The 23105-nt window shown below is 35.8% G+C and overlaps 1 protein-coding gene across 130 annotated transcripts in view; it reads right to left on the bottom strand.

Annotated features, from left to right (window-relative positions):
- Positions 1 to 23105, bottom strand: part of MBNL1 (muscleblind like splicing regulator 1) — a 222149-nt gene that overhangs the window by 51757 nt on the left and 147287 nt on the right. For 2 of the 130 annotated variants that reach the window (NM_001314057.2, NM_001387800.1), the window contains one exon: positions 17800 to 17857. The exons of the other annotated variants lie outside the window; for them this stretch is intronic. In NM_001314057.2, the coding sequence (NP_001300986.1) occupies positions 17800 to 17802 (3 nt within the window). In that variant the 5' untranslated portion in view covers positions 17803 to 17857. The remainder of the gene's footprint in view (positions 1 to 17799; positions 17858 to 23105) is intronic. 130 annotated transcript variants of the gene reach the window in all.

The raw sequence follows: 23105 nt of genomic DNA, 5'->3' as shown, positions 1-23105 counted from the left end.
GATCTCCTGAGCACACGAGTTTGAGACCAGCCTGGGCAACATAGTGAGAGCTCATCTCAAAAAAAAGAAGTTACTATAAAATCATAAGTACAAATATACCTTCCTTTTGGATAATTCTTTTTAATAAAATATTCATTAAAGCCTATAATATGTAATATGGTGTGAGGCACTCTACCCATATTATTTCAACATATTTTCAAATCATATCAATAGTAGCAGATCTCATCAACCACCTTGACAACTTCTTTCACCAATAAATCTAATTAAAACTGTTTACAAGCAGTAGAATAAAAGAAAGATTAATTGAAGCCATCATTCACATTCTAAAAACACCAATTTAGTATAATTGAACTTTATGCTATAAATTGACTCTGATGCTTATACTTATGATAAAATCTGTCATAATTCTAATTTAAATGATCGGTTTTGGCTCCTTTTGTATGAGGTTTTTAGGAATGTCTCTACACTAGGCTAGAATCATAGGATACTGCTTGTTATTTTTACAAGCTTCATGTAATACTTGAAATCAGTAGGCAGCAGGGGACAGTGGATAGCAGAGACCTTACAGGTCTCATGAGCTGGGACAGAGGCCTAGCTCTCTTACTCATCAAATGCATGAACTGCATAAGGAGCTAACTTCTGTAAGCCTCAGGCTCTCTATCTAGTACTGAATTATTAGAAAACGTGTATCACTGCCACCACAATTTAATTTGTGTATCAAACAAAAGAAAAACAAAACATTGGTATGAAGATGATTTTTTAAACATCTTTTAGTTATGGCTATTGGTATGCTCACGAAGTAACATATATATTAAACTTATTCCATATAAAATCACCATGCTTGATGTAGGTTGGGATCATGAGCATGTTATTAGCTTAAAAGTGTCTTGATACAAAACAACCAAAAACAACCTTAGACTCGCAAGATAAACCACAGAGTAGGACTGGCAAAAATAAATAAATTCCTGGATAGCATATGGTCTAATTTCAGGGATATTTAGTTGAAGTCTCCTAGAAAAAGCCTGCTTTTTCAATACAAAGAATAATTTGGCTGCAACAGAAATTCTTGTTCTCAGTATCTCCGCATCATAGTTCTTACTAAAACTGGATTTCTTTAAATGCAGGTGAGAGGGGTTATGGTCACCACGAGAATTCACTTCCCATCAATTCACTCACATCGGTTTCTATAGTTCTGTAAATAGTAGATAGATAGCCCTGGGCCATGAACCAGACCTTCCAACACTAACTGTGGTCTTCCTAAGCACTTCATTCCAGTACCTTCCTTGAATACACACCACCCAGACCATCCTGCCAATGAACATAGCCTGGACTGAAATAACAGAGAGAAATCACGTGTGTTTGGTATACGTATATTCTGCATCAGTGCATCTCAAAACTTTTACAAGACGCTCAGACTTTTGATTTTCATTCTGAATATATGACATCTACTCAGGAAAAATGCTGTTCTCCTACATTTTTTATCTATGGTACCTTTCTATGCTCAGCTTGATTTGACTGTGTTGAGCCCTTCATTTTCAAAAAGCTGTGTTCCTAAGAATCAACTGATATTTGGTGAGAACGTATACAGACTACCAAGACTCTCCCACAGAGAGCTGTGACCACAGGTTTGAGGGCCCAGAAATTAACATTTTAACAAGCATTCCAGGTGATTCTGATATAGCAGAAAACACTACAAAATACAATTGTGCAAAGCCAGATAAATTTTCATTTGACATGTGTGGAAAAAATAAGAGAATAATGTCTGCAAATGATATTAGATACACTTTGCTTCTTAGGAAGTTTAAAACATGTTTAATACTGATTCTGCTGCTGAATGATTATAGTTTGACAAAGGAAAAAGGTCAAAAATAAGTTAGAATATACATCCTCCATTAGAATTGCCTAAAACCACCAGGAACATACCTTCCTTTGAGAGTTAAGGTAAATACTATGTTGGTATGTTGCCAGCTTCATCCATCTCTGAGCCCTTAGTAGCATCACACCTCAATAAACATTCACAGAATGAATGAATGTTCATTTCTTACTAAATGCCTCAAGATGAATTCTACTCTAACTCTATTCTAGAGACAATGGAGATAATAGAAAAAACTAAATATGATACCAAATCTTGGTTCTGAGTTGTACTGACCTAATGATGCTTTCATTAAGAGGTCAGTCATTTAAATACATGATAAAGCTAGCCACATAAAAGAAAAAAAGGAAACAGAAGCAGGTTTGTAAGTTTCACCAGGTACGAAAGGAGATTTGTATAGACATTCAATGTTTCTGGCATCATAAAATCTATACAATGACATTACATTTTAAAAGTCTAAAAACAGAAATTCATCGGTATCTAAAGTTCACATATACAGACTTTTATATTGGAGCTACTACTCTAAATCATTTAGAGATTTCACTTCAAGATACATTAAATTGGGCTGCTAGGTTAATGCGAAATATAAATATAAATATGTCTTCAGTTTTTTTTGTTTTGTTTTGTTTTTGAGACGGAGTCTTGCTCTGTCGCTCAGGCTGGAGTGCAGTGGCGCGATCTGGGCTCACTGCAAGCTCCGCCTCCTGGGTTCACACCATTCTCCTTTCTCAGCCTCCCGAGTAGCTGGGACTACAGGTGCCCGCCAACACACCCGGCTAATTTTTGTATTTTTAGTACAGATGGGGTTTCACCATGTTAGCCAGGATGGTCTCGATCTCCTGACCTCATGATCCACCCATCTTGGCCTCCCAAAGTGCTGGGATTATAGGTGTGAGCCACCATGACCAGCCATCTTCAGTTTTGATAGGTACAGGTAGCTCCAACTATTGAGATAACTGTATAATTTTATCAAATAGAGCTTTGTTCAAATTGTAGCTATGTTACTTATTTGCTGTGTGACCTTGTGGAAGTTAGTGAAATTCTCTGAGTGGTCACATCTTTTCTATATAATAGTAACAATAACATCTCATTGGTGATGTATGAAGATTAGTAAGACTACAGGCCATCCTCACAAATGGCACCTGTCGTAATAGGCAGCCAATAAATATTAGTTACTTTCCTCTTCTAAGTTCTCAAGCTAATAACAAGCAGCAGTTGCTCAATTTAGCAGCGTATCTGTTAAACGCTCTAAAAATAATACAGGTAGCAAAACCCAGTGACAATGCATATCAGTCATCAATAATGTAATAAAAGCTTGGCTCTTAATCAATGTGTATTTGCCACATACACCAAGAAAAAGTCTCATTGTAACACATTTTTTACAACGTTACGTTTCTGTGCCTTGCTTTTGTTGATTACACTGAAATCTTACTTTTGGAGAGCTGTCCTGCTGACTAGCAGGCCACTCTATAGAGCCTACATAGTATTAGGTTGGGGAAAAGTAATTGAGGTTTTTGCCATTAATGGCAAAACTTTTGCCCCAGCCTAATAGATCCCTTAGGCTCCATTCAAGGAGGCTTTTAAAATAGAATTAATCCAACAAAGATTCCAAAGACATCATTGCAATATATGCAGTATATATTTTAAGGGAAAGAAGGAAAATTAATAAAATATTGGTCTACACCAAGTTCATTTTTTGTAATATTTTTTCTGTACTTTTCAATTAAAAGTAATCTGTCCAAAAAAGGCAAAATTTCCCCCTTGTAGTCTTAAAAACCTGTATGAGACCAATAACAGTCATTCAATAAATTCATCGAGTAATTTCTGAAGTTGTAAGTTGTTCGATTGTGAATTTAAGAATTATCTCATTAGTCTTTCAAACTGCTATAATTTTTTTGTGGCTATAATAAGGGAAAATATACATTTAGATTAAGTGTTTAATCCTCCAAATAAATGTATGATTCATTTATAAACATTACAGTTTAATACAGTATACCTTTACATTACATATGTACAAATATAGTATATATATAAACTGCATATGTGATATATATAGTAAGATATAAATTATATAATGGAAGCTAGGTAATTAATAGCCAATCAAAATAAGAATAAAACTAAATGAAACTAGAGATGGTAAGTTAGAAATATGAGAAAGCTATTTTCTAGCTATGTGCAATGCAATTACAAACTAGCTAATTGAAAACAAAACGATTAGAAGTTGGTTGGACTTAATAAAGCAAAAAATATCAAAATCCCAAATGAAAACTAATTTTCCATTTTTAATTATATTTCTTCTACTTAAAAGGAATACTGTGATTTGTGGAGTCAGAGTCTAAAGACACATGTTATTAAGCAGCCAAATGGTAACTATGTGGCAGGATTACAATTACCAAGTTCTATTTAAGTAGACTCTGGAAATAAAGGAGCAATGGGAAAAGTACAGGGCTACTAGCTTATATTCATAAGTCTTTTCAAATTTTCATTATGGTTTTCTGGTAAGACTGTTCAAGCTATAATTATTTATTTAAATTGTTAAAACCAAGATTTCCTTTTGGGATAGCTGATATATGCAAATGTTTTTGGAGCACTTTCTGGGTATTCATTGCTCAGATATTGCCCAGAAACTCTGGCTAACAAGTTTGGTAGTTAGCTATTGAAAATTCTTACCATTTTTTTTTTTTTCAGCTAAGATGATACAAATATTTCAGAAAATTTTTGCCAAAAATAGTAACATTGGCAGTCAAGCCATATTATTTCACACTTGCAAAAAATGTTTTTTATGGCTCTGCCATGCTTTTTAGTTATCAATTCTAATGCCTGGGTGAATAAACACACACACACAAACACATACACGTATATAAAATATTTATTTAAAAATTACAAGTATCTAGTGTTAGAAAATTTATGGCAGCTTATAAGGTGAATGATTTTAAGAGAAAATTATACTTCACATACATACAAATATAAATATGCATGCACACATATATACTTCAGGGTTATGTTTTCATTTGGTAGATATGAGTTTGATTCACTCTAAGAATCACAGTTTACTGGCTTTTGCAAGTACTGAAAATAACTGCATCTAACACGAAGTATATTGTTGCTCTTAAATGTATATTTCCTGATAACTCACTTGTTTCCGTAAAGGACTTGGGTTAGCTTACAAGAGCACATACATCCTAAAAAGATGTTCACAATTTCTCAACCTCAGCACTACTGACATTTTGGGCTAGATATATTTTTGTTGTGGGAGTTGTCCTGTGCATTGTACTATGTTTAGCAGCATCCTTAACTTACAACCACTAAATGCCTATATTACCCCTACCCTCAGTTCTGATAAACCAAAATGTCTCCAGATATTGAGACATGTCTTGGCGGGGAGGAGGGAGGACAGCATCACCCTTTGTTGAGAGCCAACCGCCACTTTACACCTCATGGAATTTAGTGGGGGGCTGTATTCATCTGCCTGGGATATCATAACAAAATACCAGTTATACCAGTATCTAGTATACCAGATTTTATCATAACCAGTTATAACAATAGTTATCATAATACCAAATATAACAGTGTATAATTATGCATAAATACACACTTATATACTCACCCCAATTATGCACCTATTTCTAACAGCAGCATATGTATTACAAACAGATTTTGCTTGTGTTACAAATTCAAAACTTAGGATATATGACATAATTTATATTTCATGTTTTATTTGAATAAACTCTTAAGAGCTTTTATAGCACTATAAAATAAAGCCTAAAATTTTTAGAGTAGTTATAACAGATACATTACATTCATTTTTTTCTTTGAAAAGTCTCTAGGGAGATTTCACTGTTTTGATGCTGTTATTTGTTTTACAAGTAGTATACTATACCACAGAGTAAATATACATAGTATATATCCTGTTAATAAGTAAATATTATGTATCTACTATGTTTAAATCATATGTTAAACTATGGAGGAAATATATTTTCATATTAACACTATTGTTTTTTGTTTTAAGTTCTGGGGTACCTGTGCAGGATGTGAAGGTTTGTTACATAGGAAAACATGTGCCACAGTGAATGGTTTGCCGCACCTATCAATCCATCACCTAGGTATTAACCCCAGCATGCACTATTTTTCCTACTGCTATCCCAATCCCCCTCAATCTCTTGCCTCGCCCTCCCCAACAAACTCCAGTGTATGTTGTTCCCCTCGTGTCCAGGTGTTCTCATTGTTCAGCTCCCACTTATAAGTGGGAACATGTGGTGTTTGTTTTTCTGTTTCTACATTAGTTTGCTGAGGAAAATGCCTTCCAGCTCCATTCATGTCCCTGCAAAGGATGTAACTATGTTTCTTTTTATGGCTGCATAGTATTCCATGGTGTAGGGATATCACATTTTCTCTATCCAGTCTATCATTGATGGGCATTTGGGTTAATTCCATGTCTTTGCTATTGTAGTAACACTAATTTTTCTATTAATGTTTAAATTCTCAAATATTCATGACTCTTTAACCTAAATAAGTAAATAGGATTTTTTTATTACATAATTGTCTGTGTTTAGTATCATAGCACCCTTGTACTTATTTCATAGTTTTACCATCTTTAAAGGCAAGAAACTATTCTTTAAATCAAACACAACTTCTACTGTTTTGATTTCTTCATTGGTCTTTCAGGTAACACCAGCAACAAATGCCTAGCATCCCCACAGAAGGTGAAAAAATGAGGCAATTCTCTTATTTTGCTAGGCAAGCAATCTCTAGTCTTCTAAATTAAGGTAGATATAGCAATCCTAATCAATATTTAAAGCTTAACTTTCTAGATGTAAATTGCTATTTATTCACCCAATCAGCGTAACAGCAAATGCATGGAGCTCAATTCAACCACAAGAGCTGGGAGATTTTTTTCGTACCAGTGAAACAAACTAAAAAAAAAAAAAAAAAAAAAAAAAAGAACATATTTCCACTGATATAATCCCAGTTTCTTTCAATTACTTTACCACAGATATAAAACATGTTTTCAAATGAAACACAATATAAAACAAATGTAGATTTTTCCCCTTTCCTGGTCCTGTGAAAAGTTCACACAAACACACACACACACACACACACACAGTGGCTTAACAATTATTGAGACTGCCAATAAAAGAAAGAAAAATACACACATACAAATACACACACAGCCTATTGAGTTCAAATTTGTAACTTTACCATGGCCTGAAAGAATATAATGTAATAGATTCTTTTTAACGGCATTAAACATTTTTTCATCAGTGCATAATCTAATCACAAATGGGATTTTAGGTTAGACTTTTCTAGCTACTTAAACAGCCCTCTTGAGTATTCAATAGCTGTTCTAGGCACTATTTTGTAGAACACTCCTAAGTTTAATGGTGAAGATTCTCAGATACTGAAACCAATAGCGACATTTACGATATCCCAAAATATCCTCACTATTGACGCAATATCAACACACCCCCACTCAAACACTGGGATACTATGACTTTTTTTTCCCCAGAGAACCTAAGAGCTTTAATTGCACAATTCCCATTAATCATCTTGAAAATGGCATAACTGAAACTCTACACTTCTACAGAACATTATGTAATGCATGAGAGTCAAAGTAGCTGCCACTGAGAGGGCTGAGAAAGGGAAAAAGGCAACAAATCACACACACATTCTTGTGACAAAAAATACCACTTTTTTCTCCAGCAGCTTTTGCCTGTGAGAAATCAGATACACATACAACTGTTGCAGTAGCAGTTATTTCAGCACACAATTTTAGCTGATAGTCATCTGAAGAAATCTTAATCTCCTCAGAGTGGGCCTATAAGGCTCTTCTATTTAGAGTTGCTTGTGATGGGATGCTGTAAAAAGAAAGTCTCACTTTTTTTTCATACCTATGGCCTCCTCTATCCCAGAGAATCTTAGAAAAGTGTATCACCACTGCTGAGGTTAATGCTATGCAGGGCTTAACTGCACCTATTGTCTGCCACTATTCCATAGTCTTCATAGGCTCCAAAGACAGATCTGACCACCATCCCTGAGCCAAACCAGAGTCTCTATGACCTTGTGAAAGCCCAGTGACATTTGGTAGGTGCCAGCATCATTGAACACTCCAACATTTGTTGGCTGCTTTTTTTATAGCATCATGAAACTGGAAATGGCAGATCACTATGTTTCTATTATTTTTAAATTGCTTCATTATTTTTTCAGTACAGCAACAATCAGATTTCTAAACTGTTTGTAGCTGAAATACTTCTGAAGTTTTATGACATCCAAATCAGACACTTTTCAATCTTGGCTAATAGTTAAAAGCCCTAACATTTACATAATAAATGTTAGCGCTCTATGTGTAGAGCATGCCTTTCAGTGGAGAAACACAAAATGTGTTATAAATATTTATCCAATTTATCATTGTACCATTACTAGGTGGATTTACAGTATGACTGTCTCTATTAAATTTCTAGAGCTTTCCTGGGGATAAAACAGAGGTAAACTTCTTAAGTCAAATGCATCCAATTTTTCTTCTAACAATCTCTTGAAAGACTTATTTAAGCAGTTCTTTACAGACTGCTTAAACATAGTTTAAGACTAGTTCCTAGTACATTTACAAAGCAAAAATGCTCCAACTTTAAATCTCTCCTTCCCTTCAGGAAGTACTGACTAAAAACCAAAAGGTATATTTTTATTATAACACAGGAATAATAAAACTTACATAGTGCTTCCTATATTCCAGGTACTGTTTTCAAAACTTTACCAATGTTAATTCCCTTAATCCTCTCTCAGTATTACTGGGAAGGGTTGTTTGTAACATTTCAGTTTTTCTGAATACTTAAGTACGACAAAACAAGTGACTGAACCCAGGCAGTTTAACTACAAACTAGGTGCTCCTAATCATTACTGTAGGGATATGTATTTGTACCAAGTGTATCCCACTTGATCATCTGTAAGTTGTTTTGCTTTTGTTTAATCATTGACTGCTAATACTAGAAACAGATGACTCTAGGTCAGAACCAAATGGAAGTCTTCAACCCTTTTGAGTTCTGCAAAGGAGAAGATATTTCATAATGTAAGCAACTGAATTTGGAGAAGACTAATCCACATAGCATTTCCAAAGTGTAATGGGAAAAATTTAGATGCTTTTGTAAATTTCAATTTACTTGTCATTTTTTTTTCCTCAGAGGAACCTGTCTTACAGTATCAACAATATTTTTAAGAAATGGAACACCAAAGAAGTTAAAATATTGCTTCATATTATCTACTTCAATAAGAAACCTAGTGAAGCAAGAGGTTCTTGGATTATCTATATATTTCACTGACATGCCTCTTCAATTTGGATATAACACAAATAATGAAAAATTAATTATATATAGTTATATATTATATTTAGATATAAAATAATTTAAAAACTATTATATAATGAAAAAGTTATATATCTTTGTGTGTGTATATATACATACATATATATGTAAACATACATACAAACACATAAAATTAAAGATATAAAGTTAGACAGTAATATAGGATGGTATGTTTTAAGGGGCAAGTCTTTATTGAGAAATATAAAAGTAACTAAAGGAAATCAGAGAGGAAAAACATTTTGGTTAAGTCAGCTTGAGAATAATAACATCATTACTTAGTATTTATATGAGGCATTTGTTGTATTTGTACCTGCTAGATCCCACATATCCCTACAAATAAAGTAAAGTATCTCTAAAGTGATAACACTTATTCAGTCATGATAAATTTCAAAGTATAATATTATGTAATATGTTTCCAACAACCTATGTCAATATTTCCACTGTAACTCTTCCATTGAAGTCTACTCAGCCTTCTAGATGGGACAGCATATATTATGCATATAATTAGTGCTTAAATAATTTTCTAAACTGTAGCAGATGTGTAAAATTTTGGCTGCCATTTACATGCAGAAATTAGTATATATTACACTGCTCTGCATTGTCTTTGCCAAATACAAAGACCCTTTCTTTTTCCCAATTTTTCATTGGCACTCCTTTCTAAATCTGTGAGATTCCCTAACTGAAAAACAAATACTGTCAATTTCTGACCTCACAAATTCTGCCTCAAGTCCAGCCATTAAATGCTACTGCTTCACATAAACAATGACAGAGCACGAAGAAAAGGTGAGGCAATAAAGGTTCTCACCACTGCTGACCACAGTCTCCTTCAGACAGATCAACTTTGTACTTGAACAAAATGTGCTCAATGACACTGGCTCTGTCCCCATGGAGAAAACACTCCCCTCCCTGCCCCACCCCCCTGCCTATGACCATTTGCTAAAATTGTGCACTGCCATCAGCTCTCCCAGACTTGAGGCAGCAGCGAGGGGAAAGACAAATTGGCTCATGAGCCCAGAACATGTTTCTATTGGATGGACTGCAACAGCATAAGCAGTAAGGGTAAAGAAAATCTCTTGAGGCAAAAAAAAGCAGTATCACAACACAGGTTATCTGAGCCTGTCTCCTCCTCTGCACTCCACCCCCATACCTAGAGAATTCCACTGGTTTTCTAGGGCAGTTCCCCAAATAGCTAAAGTAACACTCAACAAACTACCTAAAAATTACCACTGAGAATAAAATAGAAAAGTCTCAGAATTTTTAGAATCATTTCATATACAGTATGTGTCTAGTATCCTTGAATAGTTTTTCAGAAAAAGATCCATATTAACAATAAACATACAAATAAAAATAGATGACAACTATAAACTATGGAACTTGTACCAAGTATCTACAGATGAGTCTATATAGCAAAAGGGTATTGAAGCCATCACGTTAAGCATAGATACTTGAAAGAGCTTAGTCATCACAAGGTGCTCTGTTCTAAATGGCAATCAGAAGCTGTAGTGCATATTCTTAAGTGCTTAGTTAAGATGAAAAGTATGGAGATGTTGGGCCTCACAGGAGCGTCAGCCATGGCAACACAGTTTTTTTTTTAACAAACCAGAATGTGAACGTGAGAGGGGAAAGCACAGAAGGTTGTCACACGATTTTTTTTTTTTTCTTGCTATCACACCAACAACATTTAGGCTGAAAGCCTGGATCTGCTAAACACTCTGCTCGGGTGCATTAAGTGAGTAAAGGAATATATCTGTGATTTCTACACTCTCTACCTGTGCTGAAAACAGGTGGCTTTTATTAGAAATAGTTGTTGTATCTTCCTTTGTATTTTGTACATGTTCCTCTCCTAATACTGGGCACTGTTTACACATCTTCCTTCCCTGGTGACAGCCTCCAGAAGGAGGCTCATGCCCACAGTCTATATCAGGCCAAGAAAACCCCATAAGTGTTTACCAAGTGAATGAGTCCTGACTATATTTCAGAATATAGGATATTCTGTCCAATAAAACAGCTCTCAAACATTCCTTTTGCATCTCTTTCAGGGTCCATAAACTGACATACTATAGCCCCATTTTTTTCTTCATTCAAATATATTTTTCTCTCCTCTAGTCTTCTACCATTTCCTCCTTTTCTCAGTTAACTGCTTACTACTGTTATCCAAGTACAAATTTGTGGCTCTGCTCCCACCTAAGTAAACAATATGGTCACCTGTTAGAGGTATCTGTATCCTAAGCTTGTAAGCTTCTCATATACACAAGCCTTAGAGACAAGCACAGAGAAACAGTCCCAGGAGTTGACATGGAAAGAGCAATACAGTCCCAGCTCAATGGTTAAAAATCACATGAAGTGAAATCAGAAAGTTGCTTGTTCAAATCCCAACTTTGATATTTATGAACAGTGAGACTTTGGGTTAATTATTAAACCTCATTGAATTGTAACCTCCTCTTCTATGAAAATGAGGATAAGAATACCAGGCTAGGGATAACGTGAATATTAAATGGGGGAATATATACAGGGGCCTCAATTATGGTCTGGTACTCAGAAAAGGAAAATGACCAGGCTGCTCTCACTCTCCTAGCACGTTCTTTACCTTGCAACCCCTGGTTCCCATCACTCAGGTCAATTTCTCCAGAGATGCTTGAAAGCATCCTTTTCTCCTGTTCCTTCAACATTTCCTTTGTCAGAGTTTGCCAGCTCACCATCAAGTTAAAACCTCCTTTAATGAACTAACCCAACAAAGCCTCTAGTAAATCTTTTTTTTTTTTTTTTTGAGACAGAGTCTTGCTCTGTCACCCAGGCTGGAGTGCAGTGGCGCGATCTCGGCTCACTGCAAGCTCTGCCTCCCAGGTTCACGCCATTCTCCTGCCTCAGCCTCCCGAGTAGGTGGGACTACAGGTGCCTGCCACAACACACGGCTGATTTTTTTTGTATTTTTAGTAGAGACGGGGTTTCACCAGGATGTGTTAGCCAGGATGGTCTCGATCTCTTGACCTCGTGATCTGCCCACCTCAGCCTCCCAAAGTGCTGGGATTACAGGCGTGAGCCACCACGTCCAGCCGCAAATCTCCTTTAATGAATTAACCCAAACGAAGCCTCTTTCACTGGACTATAGTATAGTTTAGTGCAATGAAAGAACACATATCCAGGAACCAATGAGACCTGTGTTCATTGCAGCTCTCTCACCCGCTAGCTACATGACCTTATGCAGGTACTCAAAACTCCCTGCCCAAGCCGTACCTTCACTTGGGAAATTGTGTTCAAGAAACAGTAGCTCCTAGAGTAGCTGTGACAAAGCTTTCCTCAGGCCAAAGTAAGAATCAACTCATGTTCATTTCACTTACCATTAAGAAACTGGGCATCTGTTTTTAAAAGGAGTTGATATTAAAAGTAAATCATTTTAATAGGTTAAATTTGATTATGAGAAGTGACCCTTTTCAAATGTCACTTACTAAAGAAGTTTTCTTTCACTTTCCCTCCCTTCTTTTCTTGCCAAGTAGAATAAACTCACAGTAGTGAATTCAGCACCTCCCAAGCTATATTATAGATAATTTCTACAAGTCTGTCTACTGTTCTTGATTAGGAATTATATATTTTGGCAACCTAAGCATTTCAAATAAATGTTTGTAGAATGAATAAGAGACAGAAGGGCATTTCTGGGTGTCCAGCTATCACATCACTTGACAATACTGTAAAGCTTAGTCACTGGTCCTTGACCATGACTGTATATTATAAATAAAAAATTCCTACATCCAGCCTCCACTCCCAGAAATTCTTATTTAGATAGTTTTGGCTGGGTCCCAGGCATAAGTGTATTTTAAAGGCTCCCCAGATGATTCTAATGATGGCTACTCTGAAGACCACAGGTTGGTTTACATATACTAATACACATTCTCATTTACCAATCAACCACAACCTTTTCCAGAGTTTTTTTAAACTCTGTTTTTGCCAGTGACTTCAAGATAACTGCTAATGTTATCTGACTGTTAGTTAACTGATACTTCTATTTTTAAATTATCCATTTTCCAAATAGTTCATTTCATATACACTGGGGAAAAGGGCACTCAAGTGCAATGGATGGCATAAAAAGCTACTGTCCTTTGTTCCCTTGGGCATATAATCCTGGACAGGGTCTCAAGACCAGCAACACCTGCATAATCACAGGGTTATTTCTAAACAACTTGTTCACAAAAAGAAAATATTTCAAGGAAAAAGCGGGGATAACAGATCCACAACATCAATGTACCCATGAGAGCCCTTATTCTTTTAAAAATATACTCAACATACATAGTACACTTAAGAAAGAGTGTATTATCAGTGTTATTTATAGCAAATTAGATAAGTAATAATAGATTCTATACAATTTAGTTTTCTTATCACCCATCAAGGGCTAGAGGTCTTAGGCAGTTCCTATGTTAACCTGACAATATTGCTTTTATAACTCAATTTTAAGTTGCTTAAGCTCAAGTTAAAAATTTCATAGCTATAGCAAATGTTTATAAAACTAAAGTGGCATATTATAAATTTTCAAGTAAGGAGAGAAGATGTCTCAACAGGACTGCTGCTGTTTGTTTAGGAAGACAATTAGTACTATCAGTAGAATCCTCTCCTCAGTGGCCTGTTCAAAGGTAATTACAACGTCTACCATTAACTCTCACAATAATATGTAGCTTTTATCCTCATGGCAATCCCATGAGGTATTCTTATTAGCCTCATAGTACAAATCAGGAAACTGCAGTTCCCAGAGGTTAAATATCTCATGTAAGGTCCCGACAATGTTAAGCTATGAAGTTAGGAAGTACTAGTAATGTCAGGGTTAGCATGCATTCTACCATTTGGTAGCCAGAATGAAAGTGACCTAAATAATCCAGGGACTGAAGGAAAACTTTGTCATTCCTGCTTGTTTTCAGATACAACAAATGATTTTACTATAATAGAGATGGAAAATGAAAATAGATAATGTGCTTCTCCCATTAGAAGTCATCAAAAATTAAATAAGAATGGGTGGGTGCAGTGGCTCATGCCTGTAATCCCAGTACTTTGGGAGGCTGAGATAGGAGGGTCACTTCAGCTCAGAAGCTTGAGACTAGCCTAGGCTACATAGTGAGACCCTGTGTCTACAAAAATATAGAAAAAAAATAGACAGGTGTGGTGGCATACATCTTTGGTCCCAGCTACTTGGGAGAATTGCTTAAGCCCAAGAAGTTGAGGCTGCAGTGAGTCATGATTGCACTACTATACTCCAGCCTGGGTGACAGAGCAAAAGCCTGTCTCAAAAAAAAAAAATAATTAATTAAATAAGAAGTCCCTTTTGTTTTTCTTAGAATAATAACAGAGTATACCTACTTTCTGAAATTGTTGTAGAAGAGCTAGATATCTAGGTCAGAAATACAGTATGTGTAGACATAGATGCAAAAGAGAAAGCAGAACAATTAATTCATTGTTTTCTAAGCTAGGAGAAAAAAGGTAATAATGGATGAGACAAAAGAAATAGGAGCAGGGGGAGGGAAGGAAGAAGAATGATGAAGGAAGAAGAAGGCAAGGCAAGGCAGGCAGAAGTGGTCTCACCTTGAATATATTTTATACCAAATTTCAGAATAGCTCATTTGTATATTTATTCACCTACTGTATGGTGAGACCTCTCATGTGCTCTGTGCTATGGGACAGTGGAAACACAAAATGAACTAGAAACCTATCCTAAGAAAGGAAACAAGGCACGCATATAAATAGCTATTAATAGAATATAAGGTTATAGGGCAAAGAGTGTCACAAAAGACATTCAGATAAAGAGTTCTGGTAATTTTAAAGACAAGGGGACTATTTCCATTTAGAAGTATCAGGTAATAGCTTCAAAAAAGAAGCTAAATTTATACATGAAGAGTTGGAAAAGATATCTAGGTAGAGGAAATATCATACATTGGGGCATCAGTGACAAGTAATACATCTGTAATAAGAGCAGCAGGAAACAAGTTTGAAAGAGCACCTAGAAAAGTCTAGCTTGGGGAAGGTTTCAAATACTGTATTACAGATTGTCTACTTCCTTTTGTAAGCCAGAAAGAGCCACTGAATGGGGTGGAAAGGACATAAGCAAAGCTGTACTTCATGAATTCCTCAGACAAGAATGTAAGAGGGCTTGAAGTGGCTAAGAGCCTGGAAAGGGGAGACCAATTAAGTAATTATGTTAACAGTCCAGGCAAGAGGTAACAGATTTTACCATTCTCTAGATAATAATCCCAGACCCATCTTTCATAATCTCCCACTTTACTCCTTTTCTAATGCATACTAACACACATACACTCCATATTTTTGCATCATTTGATTCTATTAGATAATTTTAATGTATGTTTTTTGAATGTGACATATTCAGCCATAATATTTAAAAACAATAATTTACTACACACCCTAAAAGAATCCTAACCTCTCCTGATATTAAACATGATAGGTCTTTTTTAATTAAAAAAAAAACTGTGCTATACTAATATATTACATGCACTAACATAAACAGAAAGAATGAGTAGATGGGCCTAATTTTTAATCAACTGTTCTGAAACTGTTTCAAAAATCATAATTGAGTGACTAAGTTCTATGTTATCCAAAATAGGGCCCAGTCTCTACATGCAACTATTTTTCCCTGTTTCCAAAATTATGCATATCTTGTTTCATTGCACTTAACTATAATTTAAAATAATTTCAAATTTCATTTTTAAAATGTGGCTCTGAATTTACAATGCATTTCTTTTGTACTGTAGTTGGGCAACTGTTTTTGGTTTGTTCTGATTTTTTAAAAATAAATTGTGAAAAAATATAAATGAATAAATTGTGGTTTGAAAAGACTATGTAGCAAGTGAATTTGTTTTAAATAATAATAATCTCTGAAAGAGTAGAAAATTGGCTGACAATAAAATGAACTGATTACACAAACAAAATAGAATTTCTTCTAAAACCAGTATTCCACATTACAGACTACTGATTTTTGCTAGTTTACTGGTTTATGGTGGGGGGAAGGTTCCTCTCTACATGTGTGAATTGGTAAAAACACTGGAGCTCACATGACACACAGTAGGAAAATATTTATAATATGTTAGTCAATAGGGTTATTTTAAGGAAAGATTAAAGAAGATTACCATGAAAGGACCAAGAAATACTTTAAATAGATTCAAGTAAAGTTTACAGATTATCAGCGCTTTATTATTTATGCTTAAAACATAGATAAAGAAAATGTGGCACATATACACCATGGAATACTATGCAGCCATAAAAAAGGATGAGTTCATGTCCTTTGCAGGGACATGGATGAAGCTGGAAATCATCATTCTCAGCAAACTAACACAGGAAGAGAAAACCAAACACTGCACATTCTCAAGTGTAAGTAGGAGTTGAACAATCAGAACACATGGACGAAGGGAGGGGAAAATCACACACCAGGGCCTGTCAGGGGTAGGGGTGCTAGCAGAGGGACAGCATCAGGAGAAATACCTAATGTAGGTGACGGGTTGATGGGTGCAGCAAACCACCATGGCATGTGTACATCTATGTAACAAACCTGCACATTCTGCACATGTATCCCAGAACTTAAAGTATAATAATAATAATAAACATATTCTCAATCATTTGAAACCTAACAAGTCTTAGAATGGAATGCCAATGTTCTTATCTCCAAGATTTTTTTAAGCTGGGGAAACTTTCAGATTAGACAATCCATTTTGGCAGTACATCACATCCTATTACATGTGCCAACAGGATTGCATTATTATATTTTCTCTTTGTATTGTCCAGCCAGCTTACTACTTACCATGAGTGTATTTCTGTCCTTTTTTCCTTTTGTTGTTTTCCCAATGTTACACTTAGGAACATGCTATACCCCCATGAGTTTTTCTTTAATGTATTTCTATGGGTCCACCATGGAAAAGAAATTGTTAATTCATACAGACCATTTCTTGTACTTCATTTATACTAAATACTGTTCGAGCAATTGAAAAGATGGTTCATTACAATAAACAGGTAATCCCCAAACTTTTTTGAGAATCTTAATTTATCTCTGTTATCTGACAACCTACCAAAAATCAAAACAAAAACAAACAAAAAACAGAAGAAAAGGTGGAATAGGGTCAAGGTAGGGCTGCAATAAAGCTTAATATAGGATATATTACAGAAAATAGATGAATGTTAATATGAAGTGCGCTGTGAAACCAGGGTGGAAAAAATGCAGAGGAAAGACAGACTAGGAGTGGAGCACTTTCAAAGCAGATTCAATTAACCTGAAATGATGATATGAGTAAATGTACTAACTACATTATGCCAATGAGGAAATTAAAGCTCAGAGAGGTGAAAGGATTTGCCTAAGATCACACAGTAGCAAATCAGGTCTGATATCAAGTCTGAGCATTATGTCTTCTATAACAGTGGTCCCCAACCTTTTTGGCACCAGGGATCAGCCTCGTGGAAGACAATTCTTCCCTGGACTGGTGGTGGTGGAGTGGCGGATGGTTTGGGGATGATTCAAGTACATTACATTTATTATGCACTTTATTTCTATTATTATTACATTGTAATATATAATAAAATAATTATAACACTCACCATAATGTAGAATCAGTGGGAGCCCTGAGCTTGTTTTCCTGCAACTAGATGGTCCTATCTGGGGGTGACAGGAGACAGTGACTGATCATCAGGCATTAGATTCTCATAAAGCGTCTCCAACCTAGATCCCCTGCATGCACAGTTCACAATAGGGTTCACACTCCTATGAGAATCCAACACGTTGTCACTGATCTGACAGGAGGCAGAACTCAGGTGGTAATGCCAGCAATGCGGAGCAGCTGTAAATAGAGATGAAGCTTCATCCACTCATCAGCCACTCACCTCCTGCTGTGCAGCCCAGGGTTGGGGACCTCTCCTCTATAACACAGCTGACTTCCCAGGAATTAAAAAAGCCAGGAGGGCCTGATAGGTAAAATGGCAGTAACTAAAACCACACAGGTGTGAACATTCCCGCTAGGCAACAGACAGTGGCTAAAGCAATCTGTTTGGGGTAAAGGCTTTGTTCAGGGGAGGTTAAGTTCAGAGTTAATGCAAGAGTTAAGTGAAAGTAACGTCAAATGCCAGGTTAAGAACTCTAAAATACAAGCAAAGATAATCCATCCATCCAATGCTCTTGCTGAGGCCTACTTGAATTTCAGGAAGACACTCCTTAGTGAAGATGACCTAAGAATACAGAAAGACTGCGCTCATTAAGAGAAGTCAAGAGTAATGACTGATTGTCTGGTTATATAGGACCTAAAAATCCAAGACAAAACAGCTGCCTAAATTGTTCAAGTGGGGTGGCAAGATAAGCTAGCACACAAATGTCTTCTGTGAAATATAGCACCAAAATGCTTGAGAAGAAAAAACAGACAAATATTAATTAGGACTATCATTTGATAAACAGCGCAACAGTTGGCCTGCATTTTATTTAAACAAAAAGTTTAAAATAATTTATATTATGCCACAAAATAATGAAAATGTACTAGTCACTCCGTTAACCTTGAAGCAATAACATGTCTGCTACAAAATCTTAAACTTTAAAAATATTTCTCACAGGATAAAAACTACTTATCCATATTTTTGTTTTATAGACTGTGAATATAATAATTAAATAAAAGCTGAAGGCCGGGCACGGTAGCTCACACCTGTAATCCCAGCACTTTGGGAGGCTGAGGCAGGTGGATCACGAGGTCAGGGGATCAAGACCATCCTGGCCAACATGGTGAAACCCGTCTCTACTAAAATACAAACAAAAATTAGCCTGGCGTGGTGGTGCATGTTTGTGGTCCCAGCTACTCGGGAGGCTGAGGCAGCAGAATCGCTTGAACCTGGGAGGTGGAGATTGCAGTGAGCCGAGATCGCTCCACTGCGCTCCACTCTGGCAATAGAGTGAGACTCCCTCTCGGGACAAAAAAAGAAAAATTAACTATGGATGATGAAGGGAGAAAATTACTATTTATTGTTTATGCTCTTCCAAGAGTACTGGACATAACACCCATCTAAAGGTCTCCCAGAGTCAGGCTCCATCTGACACCTGTCCCTGTTTATTTTCTGTATAGTACTTGTCATGCCTGTAATTATGTTGCTTATTTATGTGTTTATTTATCAACTAATTCCTGCACTAGGGAATAAGATCCATGAGGGCAGGCACCCTGTTTCACCTAGCTTAGAGTGTGCCACAGAGTGCTGAATAAAGGAAAGAGTAGATCTCACATAATTCTGTCAAGGATTCTATAGCACCAGTACTGTTACTCCCCACTTTGCTGACAAGGATTCAGACATCCTGTGAAATTAAATAATTTGTACAAGGTCACAGAACAATTAAGGTGTCAGAGACATCTGCATGAGGCATATGTACCGTATAAACAAATTTGGCAGGCTATATTCAGAACTAAAACAGTGTCAAACTGAAATTCAAATAGCTAGTGGTGTTTAAAAATGCAGCAATTAAGCAAACAGTCTGTGAAAGACTCTTCTCACTGTATATAAATAGTCAGACAGACTTCTTATAGCTTTAATCACAGTACACATTTAGTTAAAATATGTATTTCACACTAATTGACTATGACTATTTTGCAAATTATAAACAATGTTATCTGTTACCCTTTGGAAAAATTTGGTTTTGCCCTCAAAATATTACTGCTGTCTCAGAGATTCTCACTTTGGATGAAATTGTGAAGAAAATCTACCCAACAATCTTGGTTTTTAAAATGGTAGGTTCGTTTTGGAAAACCATGTAGGATGAACTGAATGTCAGTGATAAAAATAGATTTATAACTAAATTGGTTACTCTCAATAACCACTGGAATAGCTTAATAAATTAGGCACTATTTTTTCAGTATAGTTCTCAGAAAAAATTATTTAAAATAATTTCATATCTCCTACTAAAGGCGATAAAGAAATTACCTTTGAGAAAACAATTTCTACAAAGAACTAGTGAACTACATAATGCTGAAATTCACTGTGCCAACTATAGCTCACGCACAGGAAAGGGGAACATATATCCACAATGTGTTGTTAATACTCATATTTATCCATTAATAAATATATAAGGTATCTACTTGCTTATCATTATGCTGGGTGATGCAGGATAGAAAAAGAAATACAAAATGCAATTCCAACTGGTAAAGAAAGCTAGCTATAGAAGACATTAATGGAAGGTAACTTCATGAGAAACACTCTCAAGAAGAGGTACAAATAAAGCTGGGATACTAATAGTCAAACGATATTCCCTCAGACCTGAATCATATTTCACCGTAACATTCATTTCCTTAAGAAGGTAAGTCAATGGCTTTCTCACCCAGTGTTTCAGTACAGTTCCAGAGACTTTTAGCTCTTTGCTGCTATTCTTGGGTAGATTCAATGCTCAGAAAGTAAAAGGCCTAAAATTATCATGCCCATTAAAAGTTATCTGATACCTAGGATTAGTCTTGGATATCAAGAAATTCTCTAAGATAGACTGTAGCTGCAAGCTAATTTGTAGCTCTAACCTACATTCCAGATTTAAAAGCCATCAATGGCCAGGGGCCCTTTCTACTCCCAGTCTATTGGGAATACAATATCTATTTTCCAGCAGTTCAGGACTATCTAGAAAGCAGGTATTCATGGAAAAGGGATTTCAGGGAGGAATGACAGAAGTCAAGGAGACAGGCCAGGGAGGGCTGGGTGAGAGAACAGAGATGTTTATGTAAAGGAGTTCTGGTACCTTCCTATGGGAGGCATCTTGGCAAGAGATTCTGGGCTTCTTTTAGGAGGTACCTTGAAGCAATAAGATAGCAGCACTCTAGAAACTTAGGATCCAACGCAACAAATTGTACACCATTTTAAAAGCTAGAAAATTCAACTAGCCATCTGTACAAGCATGTTTTCCTGTTAAAAACAACAAAAAAAGAAGGCCTTTGGGATTTTCTACTCAGAATACTTCTCAGGAATATTTTTACATCTCATATAAAGTTTCCCTGACATTACTGCAAAAAACTGGGAGTAGCTACCTTTCAGAAGAACGTGTTTGTATTGCCAGAACATGGAATATTCTAAAAGGTGCTTTTGTAATATATCTTCCTTCTCTGTGTATATCTTACCCATCTGGAGACTATGGCTCACCCAGTTAAGGCTATTACATAATTTTGCCAAAGAGGATAAAAATAGAAAGGGGTTAAGGATAAATGTTAAAACAGACATGTATTATTCAAAATCTCAACATCAAGGCTTTGAATGTTTTGTTTTACTTCTTGTTGCTGCTTTTAAAAAGTAGAAATTCTGGGATAGCAGTTTATTCAAAGAGGAAGAAGTAGAATAAGTATGCTGATTTTCAAAAGCATTCCATTCATTTTTTGAGTTTTTAAAAAGCACATGAAATGTAAATATGTACAAAAGGCTCAATTTGTTTAACTCTGTCTCCCATTAACACCACTCCAATGGTTTTAATATCAATTTTAGTTCTGAATTTTTGTCTCAGAAATGAGCTCTGAAATTGATAATAAAAGTATTACAAAGAAATAAGTGAAATACACATTAACCTATGTGTAATGTTACCTAAGCAGGGGATTATATTTAAAAAAATATTAAGACCCATCTTCAGGTACTTCTTGCGGAGATTTCTGTTCATGTTGCACTACGTAAAGAGAAAAGTCTTTATGCCACTACTTACTATTTATAAATGTCAACTGCTTCTCTATAATGTAATCATACTTTTTTTTTTTGCACAAAATGACAGGACTTAATGATGAGCTCTGTATTTGAAACACATGTTCAGTAAAAGAAACGACAGTTTGCAATTTATTGATATTATAGAAACAAAGAAAGTGCCAATACTTTACTACCAATTCCCTGCAAACTCAGCCTTTCCCACCAAAAGAGAATTGGAATGCATTCATCAGAATTTTCAAAATGTGCTTCCCTGTTAGCCCTGTGAGATGGGGGTGGGTATGGGATAGACAGATTCAGCAAGCCAGAGGCAATTGAATGTACTTCTCAGTGCTTCCAACTGGGATGTCAGCACTTTACTAATCAAAGTTGCCTTTTCACCTCTCATGTATATTCTATTTTTCATCTTGAATTATACCAAGGTGTTTTCTATAGGAAATATCACTACAATAATGTCTCACATGTGTTTAGCAATATGCTGCACATGTCAGGCAGGAGCTAAATGCAGAGAATAAAGAAGCATGTAGAATTAAGCCCCCAACACTGTCAGCCTTCCTTCCAAAAGTTTTCTGGAGCTGTATGAAATACTGCTTCCCATGTGATTTTCAGGAAAGCTTTATGGACCAAGTTTTCAAATGCAAATAACAAGGTCAAAAGGAGGAAGGTTTATAGGTATGAAGAACTGGAAGAAAAAACGAAAACATAGAAAGAAGGTCATAAATTTGAAAGGTAGTGTCAAAAATCTGTGAACAGAAGTTTAAGCAGTTACATAACATCCGTCCTTGCTATGAAGATTTCATGGTTCAAACTTAGAATCATTATTCATTTTAGGTAAGGTTTTAATTTATCTAAGAAAGGGCAACTTAATGTGTAATATTATGCTGCAACATTCCTTTAAAACTGAAAAAGGAGAGAGTGCTTAATAGTAGGAACTCAAAAAGCAGAAAGATGTATTCAGGTTCAAATCCCAATTTTGCCATTTACCAGCCCTGCGGCCTTGTACATAGCACTTAATCCTCTAAACCTCTGTTTCTTCACCAATAAAATGGGAATAACTATACTATCTCCCTGATAAGGTTATATAAGAGGATTTAAATGAACATTTGTGTGAAGTCAATACCTAGCACCTAGAGAACACAGGTAGAGTATAGCTGTTGTTCTTATTTTAAGTTTATCTAGATTTGTTAAATGAAAGTTTTCTAGTCTCGCTCTCACAT

Source organism: Homo sapiens, chromosome 3 (assembly GCF_000001405.40).
Source record: "Homo sapiens chromosome 3, GRCh38.p14 Primary Assembly".
NCBI classification, from domain to species: Eukaryota; Metazoa; Chordata; class Mammalia; order Primates; family Hominidae; genus Homo; species Homo sapiens.
This window is presented reverse-complemented; position numbering and strand designations above follow the sequence as displayed.